Source organism: Homo sapiens, chromosome 10, assembly GCF_000001405.40.
Source record: "Homo sapiens chromosome 10, GRCh38.p14 Primary Assembly".
NCBI lineage: Eukaryota > Metazoa > Chordata > Mammalia > Primates > Hominidae > Homo > Homo sapiens.
The window spans coordinates 104154599-104169494 of record NC_000010.11 but is presented as its reverse complement, the minus strand read 5'-3'; the positions used below and the strand labels follow the sequence as shown (position 1 = coordinate 104169494).

The following is a 14896-nucleotide window of genomic DNA, read 5'->3' as shown; positions in this document are numbered from 1 at the left end:
ATTATGTAAGCAAGTAAAACTAATTGAAGTAACATGTTTTTAAGTGGAAAAAAACACAGATTGTATGATCCCCAAGAGTAGTAGAGGGTTCTTTTTATTGTGGATGTAAATAATAGAAGAATTAAGTACAGTAAAGACTCCCAGACAGAGGTCACAAACTGGCACTTCAAATGTGTGTTGGCGAGATTTCAACCAACATTTAGATATCTGGCAGTTTCACTTAAAAATATGAATTCCAGACCTCTCTAATAAAACAGGAAGACTTCGCTCAGTGGTTTTGCTTCCCTGCTGTTCCAACCAGCAGGCTTTGTGCACATTAGCTACGCAGCTCACCACCACAGTGCATCCATCCTCACACCCCACTTCACTCGTGTATGCAACCCGACCATCCTTAGAGGTAGAGGTACTGTGTGTCCTCAAGGAAGAGAATCCAAGCCTACAGACAAACTTCAGGAGACGTTCTCAAAGGCAGAGATGTGTTTCCCGAAAGTGCATCTCAGTGCAAGGTGGCTCAAAGTGTTGGAGAAAGACAAACTCTACCACTGAAGGTGCAGTTAATGGCTACTTAGTGAGTTTACAATGGAGATTATTATTTCTGAGTCCACACTTTCATTTTTATCTTTTCCCTTTGTCTGTGTTCTTCAAGATGATAAAGGATGTAGAGATGCATAACTTAGCCAAGAGCTATTTGGCTGAACTTATCAAAGAAGAATGTTGGAATTCGATGGCTGTGAAAGGTCGAGCTCTTAAGGTAACAGATAGAACCCTAGGTACAAAACCTGATGAGAATTGTCATCAAAAGCTCAGGAAAGTTTTAAAAATAAATTTAAGAAAATTCAGGCATAGCAAAGCACTGAGAGCATGGCTTGCCCCTTCCTATACTGAATTTCACCTGGATGTGTCCCTGTCTCTTGGTTCCTTCCCTCTGTGCTCAGTCCCCGTGTGCTTCCCAGCCAGCATTTCTGAAGATCTGTCTTAGCATTCTTTTCCTCCTTTCCTCTCAGGCACCCACTGCATCTGGGTCTTAATAGCTGTCTGCTCACTCACATTTCACACAGATTGAAAGGTAGACGAAATCTGGTTCATGTTTCTGCCTGTGCCTGCCTTCCCATTTTCTAAGGAGCTGTTTCTCATTGAGATTCCCTCCAATGTAATTTCCCTCTTTGTGTAGGGTGACCAAAAGTCTCAGGTCTTGTCTGCAATCCCAGAGTAACTATTATCAGCATCCTTTTCACTTTCAAATATGCTCCCAATGTGGACAATGAAGTATACGGCCACCCTACATTTTATGTGATGGATATTGCTCTAAAACAGGGTCCTCATGAGCCATACATTTTGGGCTGGATCATTTCTTGTTGTGGGGGCTGTTCTATGCCCTGTAGGGTGTGTAGCAACATCTCTGGCCTCTATTTGGAGACAGTAGCATTGTTCGCCTCCAGTAATTACAATAAAAAAAAGTTGCCAAATGTCTTGGGGGCAAAGGATAGGGAGAGAAGGGAGGAGAAAAATTGCTCCTAGTTGAGAACTACTGACCTAAAAATCAGCCCTTCACAAAAGCACAGTATTTTATATAAAGTTTATACCAATACTCATGGAATACATTGTTTTATTTTTAAAAAGGTTTCCATTGTCAATTTTACTAACACATGATAACCTATGGGTTAATTTTAATCACAGAAAACATCCCCTACTCAACCCCAGATACACACAATTATACTACAAATGGATTTATTTTGTCTTGCGTTTTTTTCCCCAAGTGTTTTCATATCCCCTGTGTGGTTGAAAACTTCCCGATGAAAGCGCGCACGGTTGAAGAGCTGAAAGAATTGGAAAGAGTTTTACAGCAAAAGAAGATTGAAGCAGAGTGTCTTAAAGTACTATTTTAAATATACATGTGTTTATATAAGTGATGTGCTTTATTTTAGAGTCTCCTTTGTTCAGGTTTGAGTTGGGATGTAATTTAAGTTTAGGTATTGTATGTATTTATATTTTTATTTCTTGTTAATTTGTAGAATATATTCTAATAACTATAGGAGCCTATATCCACACAATAAATCAAGGAGCCTGTATCCTATACAACACTGGCTAGCCCTCAAATATGAGGATATACCTTAAAAAGTGAGATTTGGTGTTCTGCTCTTATCCTGCACAGAGGTTGTCTTCATCCACACATATCCTTTTCATCCTCCCTTGTCACTAGGGATTGTATTTTAAGATAATTGATCAAGGATGAAGTAGAATTTGTTTTGATGGAATTATGGTTTTCCTAAATCCCAACTTTTTAAGCAATAATCTCTGTCAAACCACTAAAAAAACACTGCCCTTCAGTGTAGTTTTGTTTTGGTCAGAACTTTGCACCCACTCTTTTTCTGAAACAAAAAGAAGGCATGCTTAATTCGTGTTAACCTTCACCCACTGATCCTTTGTTAACAGGTTTCTTTGTAAAATATAAAGAGAATATATATTTCTTAATACTTAAGTACCAAAAAAGACTCAAAATATTTACAAGCAGATGTCATACTGACAGAAAGATATAAATATTACACACCATCCAGGACAATTTTTATTCCTTTGATTTATCTATCATTTATCAGTTTCTGAAGCCTTAATCTCTTCTGCAGCAGTTCTGGGATCTATTCATCACTTCGAATTCAGTTGTTGGCAAGACAATTCAACAAATTAAAATGATTGTTGAAATAATTAAGTTGTCACAAAATTTCCCTTTAGAGGATTCTTATTATTGCATAACTTCTGTGTCATCTTTTTCTACATGTAGCTACGGAAGGAAATTGTAGAGGCTCAGTCTGGAGTTAAGTTGATTAAACAGCGTCATGAAGAGGATGATGAAGAAGAGGAAGAGGAAGACAAGACAGTAAAATATAGCAATTTGCCCAATTACCTGCTTGGTAGTCTGAGTACTGATTTTGGGGTAGATACCTCTTTATTGTCAAGCCAATTGGAGCTTCATTCCAGAGAAGAGAAAATCAACCAAATTATATTATTGAAAGTGGGTCAATTTTCTTTTTATCCTGAAAAATCTCTAGACTCCCCATTAGGTGGCTTTCAAGGCCTCACATTGAAAACAAATGCCAATCAAATGATGATTTAAAAATACATAGAGGAGGCTGGGCACAGTGGCTCACACCTGTAATCCCAGTACTTTGGGAGGACGAGGCAGTCAGATCGTGAGGTCAAGAGATCGAGACCATCCTAGCTAACATGGTGAAACCCCATCTCTACTAAAAATTAAAAAATTAGCTGAGCATGGTGGTGCGTGCCTGTAATCCCAGCTACTCGGGAGGCTGAGGCAGGAAAATCGCTTGAACTGGGGAGGTGGAGGTTGCAGTGAGCCGAGATCATGCCAGTGAGCTGGATCTGCACTCCAGCCTGGCAACAGAGCGAGACACTGTCTCAAAATAAATAAATAAATAACAATACATAGAGGAATATACAGATACTGTCCATGTCCTTTAGACAGATCTTGTGTACAAGAGTTGCGTTCGACCATTTGGACTAGGTTACTGTGATACCAAGTTTTCTAAAGAACATTCCACAACAGCTGACACCACAAACCATTCTGTTTTGGACTTCAGTAAGCTCAAAGAGAAAAGAAAACACTAGAATTCCGTTTTCTCGGTATACCCAAATGTCAATTAGGATTTCCCTGTAAGATCAAGATGTTATTGTTTATCTATCTGCTTAACCTGGGGAAAGACAATTTCCTCTAAATTTCTGTAAATTCTGGGGTTCGAGGACAAGGTGTTGGGGTCCCTCTGGCTCTAAGCTCCTACTCCTTAACTTTCCACCAAACAGTCTTAGAATACGTCTATACATGTAGAAACCCTGACTGAAGGTTTTTGAAAAGGCAGTGACTGAGATTGTGCCAATGAAGATAGTTTGAAATTGAATGCTGGCAATCCCTGTTCCTGAAAACCCTCCAGCCACGTCTGCAATTTGAATTCTAGTCTCCTGCCATGTTCTTAGCTCTCTCTTCCTATCCTCTTCTTTTTATGCTCTAGCCCCTGAAATTTCTGTTCATTTACACTCAGAGCTATTTAGTTACCTCATTTGTTGCTCAGCTTCTGCCTTCAGGGTCTCACCTTCTTGCTGCTTTTAATTAAGGTGTTTTCCTACAAGGAGGTAATTTCAGCCCAAGAGAAATTTTTGTGCTAGCTGTTCAGATCATTTTTTTCACCTTGCTTTAATGGTTTCATCTTCAGTAGGATAGACATAGACTAAACTCCTATGGCAACATAAAGGCCACTTTGGATTGACCCATCACCAGGAGTGGGGGCAATCCAGTTGGTCCCACTGGCACCTTAGGAATTGGTTACTCCAGCTGGCTAGCACAGGTTTCTTTCCTACCTGAGAATGGTGTGTTCATATAGAAGAAGAGTATTGTGTGTGGTGGTGATTCTCTGGCAGATTCTCCAAATACTTTCTACAAACTATCTCTTCTTTTCCACATCTACCCCAACCCAGGTTCCAAAGAAAAGACATGTGCCAACTTAAATCCTGTATATTGCTTTTTAAATATTTTATAGTGGATTTTGTACAAAAGTAGAGAGAATAGCCCAATGAGCCTCTAACTACCCATCACCCACTTCAGCATTTGTCAACCTGCACATGGAGTTACAATTTACATTTCAGGAAGTAGGTTATAGTCTAACAATTATGTGGTAGCCTTAATCCTACCCATACCTGGATGCCACTGTAGATTATTGAGCCAAGAAATGACTTAATATTAAGTAGTATTCTAGAAAGATTCATTTTACCTTCTTAAAAGATAATTTGTGGGGCCAGGCGCGGTGGCTCACGCCTGTAATCCCAGCACTTTGGGAGGCCGAGGCAGGTGGATCACAAGGTCAGGAGATCAAGACCATCCTGGCTAACATAGTGAAACCCCGTCTCTATTAAAAATACAAAAAAATTAGCCGGGCGTGGTAGCGGGCACCTGTAGTCCCAGCTACTCAGGAGGCTGAGGCAGGAGAATGGCGTGAACCCGGGAGGCGGAGCTTGCGGTGAGCAGAGATCATGCCACTGCACTCCAGCCTGGACAACAAAGCGAGACTGCATCTCAAAAAAAAAAAAAAAATTTGTGGAATGATTTTAGAGGGAAAGTATAATTGTGGGATCATGTTACCAGTAAAGATATAATATGTGATGTGTTTTCAGTAACATGTTAATATTTCAGGATATCATTTACAAGGTAAAAACTGTTTTCAATAATGAGTTTGACGCTGCATATAAACAAAAAGAGTTTGAAATTGCACGCGTGAAGGAAAGAAATGTTCGAATTCGAGAAATTATTTTAGATCTGGAATTGGAAGAAGCAGTCTGGCAACCAGAATTTGAAGACTGTGAGAAGCCAGAGAGAACGCTTGTTGTGCAAGATGAGGAGGTACTGGCTAGCTGTGTTCTCCTTTCCCTTCTTTCTCAGGAGACTTTCCCCAGCTCCTATTTGTTCAACTTGGTTACTCTGTGGGAAGTGATTGTACTGGGTAGCACTCTCAGTTGCAGGTAACAGAAAGACATGATGTAGCCTCAGCAATGATGAGAATTTCTTTTACGAATCCTGTGGAGTCCAGGGAAGATTTGGACACTGAGCCCAGGAAGAAGCAGAAACCAAAGACTAGAGCCTCATGGGAGGCCCAGAAGCCTTCTATCTTCATCTCTTAGTTCACATCACTCTGCATTTCTACTTCCTCTAGCAATTTCTACTTTGTATCTCCTCCACATGAGAAAGTAGCTGGTCTGAATTAGAATCTCTTAGTCCCAATTCCCAGTTCATTTGGGAAGGGGCTCCTTGGCCCAGCTGGGGTCCAGTGCCTGTACCCAGAGTGGTTGGGTCACATTGCGGGAACGAGGCCAGTGGAGCTCCAGTAGTGATCTAGGTCATTCAGGCGGTGTGGATCCCAGAGAAAGGGGCTCTCCGGACAGCTTTCTTTAAAGGTTTTGGCACAGAGGCAGTTGGAAATAAATGCCTAAAGAAAACAATTAAAATCTGACAATATTTCATTTTTTAAAAGTAAAAAAAAATGCTAAAGAATACTCAAAGAAAGACCTTTTCTCACATAAAACCAACTTGACTCCTGGGGACAAAAGATAATAGTGGTGTTTAGAAGTAATAGAAAATATTTTAACAGTCTCTGCTGGATATTGGCTGGGCACCATTCGTGGTGCCCTAGATGGATTGAAATGAATTTATCATTGTAAGTCATCATAAGGTAGGTACTGATATTAGTTCCATTTTACAGATGAGGAAAGTGAGACACAGAGAGTTTGAGTAGTTTGACCACAGTTACAAAGCTAGTAAGTGTCATTGTTGGGGCTTTGGACCCAAACCATCATGCCTTAGAGTTCATCCTCTTAACCTGTGCACTCTGCTGTACTTGTTTAAGCAAGTCATTTTTCCTAAACCAGACTTTCACTATGTGACCTAAAACTCTGGAGCAAGGTGACAGCAAGGACCTCACTCTGCTGCTCTCTGGAGGGCCCTGCTTGGGGCAGTCACTTTGTACCTACTTCTCCTTGGGCTCTAGTCCATCCTACATTTAGGAGAGTGCTCTTGCTGCAAGCCAAACTTACTATGTCCCTTCTCTGCCTCACCCCTTGCAGTGGCTGCTCACTTCACTTGGGATAAAGCCCACGAGCCTCCTCCTAAATGCCCACCCCACCCCCTTTCTTGCCCAACTTCTCTCCCACCTGGCTCCATTCTGGTCACAATTTCATTCACACAGTCCCTTGAATGCCCCAAGCTCTCGACCTCTTAGGACCCCCATCCTTCAGAATTTGGCTTAGATGGCACTTCTTTGAGCCCCCCTCCCTCCCCTCCTTAATCTATCAGGTTCCCTGTTATAATCTTTTTAGTGGTGGACACAAGCTTTGAGAGTTAATAGAGAAGTAAAGATCTATTTTTCCAACTCTCTCATTTTAGACCTCATCTTATTCCAAAACAGAAAATTGGGTGCAAAGTCTGCAGAGTCCCTTTAATCCCCTTAGTATCTTCCAGCCTCCTCCCAGTATGTGGAAGGAAAGTTTAGTTTGAATTTTGTAAGAATAATAGCAGGAAATGACATTTTCTCTTTCAGATTACAGCCCACAAACACATTAAGCCGTGGCACAAAGCCAAAGAATTGATCGTGAATCATGAAAAGGAGCACTGGCTTCTGATACAGGCATGTAGCTTTGCTTAACACAGGTCCTAAGACCCTCTTTGCTTTAGGGATACTGCTTCCTAGTTTGGTTTAATAACCCATCAACACATTTGTCGTGGTCAGAGGTCACTTGAATCTCAGTTGGCCTCCTTTCCCCTTCTCTCCTCCAGGCACTACCTACCTTCCCCAATCCCAAATGCAGTCATTCTAATGTTGGGTGGGAAGCTGCCTCTGGAGCCACCTGGAATGTCAGGTCTCTGTCTCAGTATTCCTCTCTGATTCTGGCTCTTTCCCAGGATGCCAGTACAAGACTCCGAGCTCTGATGGACATGATGGGAGGAGTTCTGGAAGTCAAGAAGGAAGATATTTTGAGAATGGTGATATTTCTGTTCATCCTTATAGAAGGTGGAATGGGGTGGAAAGAGCTACTTAAGTTTTACCATTTTTGTCCTATATAAACCTGGGTTTTAGAAGTTCTACAGCAACAACTATTATACAACCTCCGTAGTACCTTATAAACCTACCACATTAGGGCCTGGCGTGGTGGCTTATGCTTGTAATCCCAGCACTTGAGGAGGCTAAGTGAGGAGGCCAGGAATTCAAGGCAGGAGGCTAGGAGTTCAAGGCTACAGTGAGCTGTGATCACACCACTGCACTCCAGCCTGAGAGACAGAGCAAGACCCTGTCTCAGAAAACCAAAAACATACCACGTTAGACAGATAATAAATTTGAAAATGCAGGTTTGCCTTCCAATCTGACAAGACACAAACAAATCAATAAAAATAAGTAACTACAGTGGTTTTGGTCTCTATTGAAGGCAGGAATACTGTTTCATCAGTAATTATCCAGATATACCAGGAAACATTTTCTTTGATACCTGACATAGGTTTTCCTGGGGCTCAGGGGTAGTTCTCACTATAAAGATACCAACACACCCCTCTGAGTCTATCACCTAAGAGTCCAGGTATATCCCACCCTGCTCACCTTCACCTAAGTCACAGAAGAACTGTTGTAAAATTTTAAAATATCTTTTGCCCAAGATGTCAGGTCGTTTTCCTTGCCAATGTGAAGGACTGTATCCTTTTAAAGGGCTTTTTAAAAAAAACTCTGAGCTTTTACTGTACTACTGCATTTAACGTTTGAGCTGAAATATATGCTTTTCTTCATATCTTCAGGTGATTCCTCAACCTGCTTTCATGGCAAAACCTGATGCTGTGTGGACTGAAGAAGAAAGAAAACAATTCAAAGATTATGAGAAAAAAGTAAAGGAGTTAAATGAAGAAAGAGATAAGTATAGAAAGGTCAGAAGAGCAAATAATTAATATAACCTACCATATCCAGAGTGCTGTTTAAATATCTTTTCAAATGTTTTCTACTTTGTCGATATCTTTAATAGCTTAAGGACAGTGTTTCAGCTTAAATTCTCAAGAGAATTTGGAGAAGTAAGTGGAGATAAATTTAAGGAATTAAACCAATTTTAAAGCAAAGAAACATACAGCAATAGTTTTTTTAAAGCTGTTATTGATTTCAGCATTTCCCGTGTCATTACAATTCATTTGGCCCTTCATTCATTCTTCAGGTGTTCAATGAACCCCTAATACAACATGTTCAAGTCACGGCAAGGTATTGCTCTGTGTTGTGTACATTTATTTGAATTCAGTAATACTTTTGCTTGATTTGTTCTCCATCTCAGGAAAAAGGTTTGAATAACAAATGGCATAATCAATGCAGTACATTATTTACAACTCAAATTCAAGGTTTTTACAGTGCAGTTCTGCTACTTTTATCCCCATCCATCAGAAGGAAACACTGTCACATTAAAATTGCTCACAATTACAGTAGAGATATAAAAGACGGTGATGTGCAGTCAAGTAAATAATATTTATTCTTCTAAGAAGGAAGTAAAGTCATACCATCATTCAAGGTAGGCCAGCTTTCCAGCTTGCTAGTGGCTGTATCTCATGAAGAGCTTCTTTGAATCTGTTGTGAACCTGTCCACATTTTTATTCACTGTGGCCCTGTAGGGTCCCTTGTATTTTAACCTAAAATGGTTCTTACTCAAAGCCAAAATCAGTAATACTGAAAGAAGTAAAGATTTCAAAGAGTTATGGAGTATAGATGCCTAAGGAATAAAGGCTGATGACCTATCAACTACATTTACTCCACAGTTTTGTGTTGTAAGATAGTCCACTGCCTGCACCCTCATGTCCCTGCACCTTCTTTGTACTCACCTGCTGAAACCCCAGCCTTGATTAAATCTGATACTCTGCCTTCTCTGCACCTGCACCCATGAAGTGGCTAAAGAAAAACTATTGACTGGGTTTACTCAAAATTATGACCTTAATCTCAACTGGGTCCTTAGAGCTGGTCCGCAATGCTACTCCATTTTTCCCCTAGCCAAGTGCTCTCACACTTGAATGCGAATCTGCATCACCTGGGGGATTTGTTAAAAATGCAGGTTCTGATTTCATTGTTTCTCTGTGAAAATGGAAGGACGCTGAGATTTTGCACTCCAAATAGGCTATTGCTGTCCAGTGGACCCTACTTTAAGTAGCAGGATCCTAGAGTACCATTTCACACCCGTTGCGCATCTCCCAAACTTTCAACACCTGACGCCCTCAACTCACTCTCACCTTATTTTCTATTTTACTAAGAGAAGAGAGACAACTAAAAGTTATTTCCCTTACTCCTCTACTGCTGCATCCACCCGCCAGCTCCACTGAATCCATGGCGTCTGCCTTTCTGCTTCTTATGGGTGAAATGGCCTTGCATCCACCTAAGCCTGGTCCTCTCCTGGTGCACTAGTCACCATCCCATCTCACCTACTCAATGTCATTACTCATCAGTTTACCCTCTTCTTTCCTGCATCATCAATTTTTCCCACCCTGTGGATTTTCCCCATCAGTGTAGACACATGCTATAATTGTATACATCTCTCATCTTATTAAAAAAATACTTCCTGGAAGGAAATGCTTGAGTTCTTTCTACTGTTCTTGTGATATTTGGGTCAGTATAAATTTATTTCAAAACAAAAAGTAAAAGGAAAAAACCCAACTCCTTTGGCCTCTCTTTCCCCCTGGATCACTCAATGTCTCTGCTCTCCTTTACTGCAAAACTCAAAAAAATCTATGTTGATGGTTTTCAATTTCTCTCTCAAGTAAAAAAAAAATCTTGTATCGTGGAAAATGTCAAACATGTATAAAAATAGAGAGAACAGTATAATGACCCCTTTATCCAGCTTCCGCAATTATCTACTCACGGCCAATCTTAATTCATTTTATACCTCCACTTACTTCCCTAACATTGGATTATTTTTTTCACCAATTTTTATTTTAGAATTATTCAAATGTACATAAATGTTACATGAATAGTACCATCTATATACCATATATTTGTACCAATGGCATATATATTACGTATATGTTATATATATATTGTATATGTATACCTGTGCACATCAGTTTTTTATATTGCCACATTTGTTCTCTTTTTCTCCTGAATAGTTGGAGACAAATCACAGATATCATGATATTCCTAAATATTACAGCTTAAACCTCCTAAGAACAAAAATATTCTTCTACATAACCACAGTAAAATTATCATACAAAAGAAGCTTAATATTAATATGATTATCTAATTAAGTCTATATTCAGATTACCCTGTTGTCCAAGTAGTGTCCTTCATAACTTTTTTTATTGGTGTTTATCAAAAAATCTAATCAATTTCACTTAGTTTGTAATGTTCTTTTAGTCTCCTTTAATCCACAACAGTTCTACAACTTTGTGTTCCATGACATTGACATTTTTTAAAAATCGAGGCTTATTTTTTTGTGGCATGTCCCCCAAGTTGAATTTGATTGGTTTCTCATGATTAGATTTAGGTGCAGTATTTCTGACAATCATACTAAGTAGATGATGCTGTGTCTTCAGTGCATCGTATCAGGAGGTTCCAGATTTCAGTCAGTCCCACTGTTGGTAACATTAAGTATGATCACTGGAAAGAAGGTTTCTCCAGATTTCTTTGTTATAGAAGTTCTCTTTCTCCTTCGTGTGTAATAACTAACCTGTGGGGGTGACATTTTGAATCTGACTCTCTGTTCATTCTGTCTTTTGGCATCCATTGATGATCCTTGCCTGAATCAATTATTACTGTAGTGATTGCAAAACGGTGCCTTTCTAGCTTTTATCATTTATATTTATTAGTTAGTATTCTTCTGCAAAGAAGAGCTTTTCCTCTGCCCTACCAGAGGCATACTCTAACTTAATGTGTTTTAATCCATGACTATCATTATTATTTCTGTTGTTCAAAGTGTTCGGAGCTTCTTCAAGTTGTCATCTGTGTCCTTTTCATGTGTCCTCATCAGTTTTTGAGCACTTTCTCCGTTTCTAACACAGCAAGATGTTTTAGGCACCAAGAATAAGCTATTTTTCTTTTTAGAGAATCCTGGATTCCTTTTGCTGGCAATTGGTATTTAGAGACCAAGATCTGGATACCAGATGTGTTCTTTGCTATAGGGGTTAGGAGTCATTCTCTCTCTCTCTCTCTCTCTCTCTCTCTCTCTCACACACACACACACACACACACACACACACACACACACATCCAGTTAGCTCCAATTCCAACTCAATTCCAATTCGACAGCACAGGGTTCTTTTCTCTTTCCTTCATTTAATATTTAGGTCTCCCTTTTTCAGTGAAAACTCTAGTTCCCAAAATACACATATACTTACTGATTTGCTCAGTCCTACAATGTACATAAAATACCTCTATCAAAAATGCTGTCCCATCTACCCCCTATGTTTTTTTCACCAAACTATCTCTGCCTCTTCCCAGAGATTCCAGCTGGGCTAGACGCTGAGCCCCTTTGGTAACAACATTTAAGGGAACATGAGCACAACGCATAATGTCCTTAAAAGCATGTTGTGATGTGCACATTTTGTAATTACCTTTTTTGTTGTTTTATAGCAACCATATGTAAAACATTCCAAATACTTCTACAGCTCTGCAGTCTAATCCCTTTGTCACTTTTGGAAGGTGACTTTTCAGCTTAATGCACATTGCCCTCTCTGTAGAGGAAGGAAAAAGGTATGGGCCTGCCTTACTGAGAACTAAACAGAGTCCAGGGAAAGACTCCCCTGTGGGAAACCACTTTGTTCTCTACAAAGTATCAGCTAAACCAGAAAGGTGATTCCAGGAGGGGTTAGCCAAACAGCAGCAACAACAAAAATGTGCAGTTCAGGTTTTCAGCTTTAAGATATCTTTAGACAATGTTATTTTTACTTGTTTTATTTTTTTCATTAGAAGTGACCAAAATTAAGATGGTGAGACCTCTGAGACCAAATTTTTGTCCCATCCCTATCCCCTTGCCAGTTGCTTACAGAATGGATCATGTGCCCCTTATGTTGAGGGGACCACTTAATTGCTCTCCTGCGTCCTTGAAAGAAAGAAGTAAGATTGTGTTTTTGCCACCGATTTAGCCATATAAACCCCATCTCCTTGCCGTTTTCTGGGTTTCGAGCTGCTGTCTCTAAAAGTACCATATCATTGTGCTTGGTATCAGTTGGTGCTGGACAAATTTTGAACAAGTTATGTACAAAACCTTTTAAATTTTATATTATTTTGGAACTTTGCTTCTTTGGGTTTGTGGCATCCGAGCCACCCTGTTTGACTGTGAGAGCTCTCTAGTCTGTGGGCTGGCAGTTTGCTGATCGTTTAAAGATTCTTTCCCACTCAATCCCCACTTTTTGGTAAGGTTTTTGTGTAAGGTCTGTTAGGTTTACATCCTGAAGCTTATTGGCTTAAAATGTACTCTTCTTTGATGTAGTCTCTTTGGGGCCAATTGGGAGAAAGAGAAACCAATAGTGCAACCATTGTGATACTGAATATTAACAGGTATCTTTTTGGAAATAAAGAAACAGTCCCTCCAAACAAACAAAACAAATACTATAGCTATTTTCGGATTTCCTAGTAGCTTTTTTTTTGTTCTTAGACTATATCCCGCTAAGAATACACCAACATATTATGTTTAGAATTACTTTGACTAATTCTTTTTTTCCCCTTTCTGTGAGGATAACATTACCAGTTTGATATACAGTTGACTTCTTTAAGCAATGGGGAAGAGGCTGGTGTGTCTTCCGATTTTATGATTTTTCTTTTGTTTCTATATGACCCCCTAATTTCCACCTCTTCCTTCTTTCCCTTTACTCCCAAGTCTCCACAGGGCACTTTCCTCTTTCGAGTTGCCCTTTTCTCCCCAAAGCAGTACCCTGAGACCACACCTCTGCCCTTTTAAGTCCCTTCTTTTTTATTTCAAAGTAGCTGCTTTTCTGACACCTCTACAGCTACCACTCTAATGCAAACTACTGTCTGTCACCTTTCCCAGGCTTTATTGCCTTAGTTCCTCTGCCCCCTGCCTCCTCCCCCAATCCCTATATCCCATCTCATTTCATCTCCTGTCATTCTTTCCCTCATTAACTGTTCCAGTTCCACTGATTTCCTTACTGTTCCTCAGATACCCAGCAAACTCTTGACTTGAACACCTGTAGGTCATTCTCGCTGCAGGTCCTTGACACACTGTATCCTTGGCCTGGAGCGCTCTTCCCCCTTTTAGCTACATGACTCACATTCTCACCACTTTGAGATCTCTACTCAATTGTCACCTCATCTTCCTATTATGGTGGAGATTCCTGCTTCTCCTCAATCCTGCCCCATGTCCCTTTTTCCCTGCCTTGTGGTTCTCCATAGTACTTATCACCTCCTGGCTGAGTTCATTTTTACCTGTGCCTCTCCTCCCCTACCCCCTTCAAGATGACCATTATGTGGAGTGAAGACGGTTATATAGTAACTGTGCATTCGCAAGATAATTATTTAACTGCAATGTGATAAATTAGAAGGGCAAGTTCAGGGTGCCATCTATGATGGTGAACACAGACATTGACTTAGATCAGCCACTGGTACCCACCAGATCCCCTTTGCCAGCTGCTGTGCCCATCCCCTCACTGCTATGAGTGCTCCTGATAGAGGCTTTTACACCTGAGACCTTCTCTGGAATGTTGTTGCCCTTGGATGATCAAGGGAGCCTCCATGTCCAGAGACATCGCCAAGTTTACACCACTACCCTCACCCAGGGCAGCCAGTGACCGGCTGATGGAGCCCAAGGTGAAGGGGGTACAAAAGCCCAGCCTCCTCACCCCAAGATGAGACAATTCAGCAGAGTCCCTCTCATTTCTCCCAACCCTGGGAATCAGGGTTTTTCCTCTGCCCTTCCCCAGCCAAGGCTGGGCCACCTGAGATGGCTTCATTGCTCAGCTCCTGCCCCTTGCCTGCACTGCTTCCCTCACCCCCTTACAGGTGTCTCCTAAAGAGCGCCCCCTCCAGAAATCATGTGCCCTGGAATCTTGTTTCAGGCCTTGCTTCTGAGACTTAAGACAGGGCCCAAGGAACTCTTCCTTGAGAACATGGCATTTATGCTTGCATTGGAAAAGTGAGAAAGACTGAAGAGGCCGAAGAGTGGGAAATGAAGCATAGGCAGATGGAAGAGCATGTGAGAAGGACCTGCAGTGGGAAGAATTTGGGGCATTTGAAGAAGAAATGGCAAAGGGCCATTTTACACTACAAAAAGATTCTTTCAGGACCAGAGACCCTCAAAAGGCCCAGAATCTCAGTGTTTTTAAAGAAGGGTGGATCTAAGACATGTAGACAATCTGGCCTCAGCCAGCTGGGTCTGTGGCCATTTGCCA

At 40.7% G+C, this 14896-nt stretch overlaps 1 protein-coding gene and 1 pseudogene across 1 annotated transcript in view, besides 1 other annotated feature; both read left to right on the top strand.

The window, feature by feature from the left end:
- CFAP43 (cilia and flagella associated protein 43) overlaps nt 1-14896 on the top strand; it is a 102477-nt gene that overhangs the window by 62870 nt on the left and 24711 nt on the right. Inside the window, exons 21-27 of the mRNA NM_025145.7 lie at nt 647-751; nt 1758-1874; nt 2777-3007; nt 5195-5401; nt 7092-7178; nt 7454-7534; nt 8333-8458. Of these exons, the coding sequence (NP_079421.5) occupies nt 647-751; nt 1758-1874; nt 2777-3007; nt 5195-5401; nt 7092-7178; nt 7454-7534; nt 8333-8458 (954 nt within the window). The remainder of the gene's footprint in view (nt 1-646; nt 752-1757; nt 1875-2776; nt 3008-5194; nt 5402-7091; nt 7179-7453; nt 7535-8332; nt 8459-14896) is intronic.
- Nucleotides 11950-13086, top strand: LOC751602 (tropomyosin 3 pseudogene; annotated as a pseudogene).
- Nucleotides 13400-14067: an enhancer, noted in NCBI's record as "NANOG-H3K27ac hESC enhancer chr10:105915186-105915853 (GRCh37/hg19 assembly coordinates)". NCBI's record gives its function as "activates a minimal SCP1, AML or CMV promoter by ChIP-STARR-seq in naive H9 embryonic stem cells {active_cell/tissue: H9 hESC(naive)}" and the evidence as "EXISTENCE:reporter gene assay evidence [ECO:0000049][PMID:30033119]".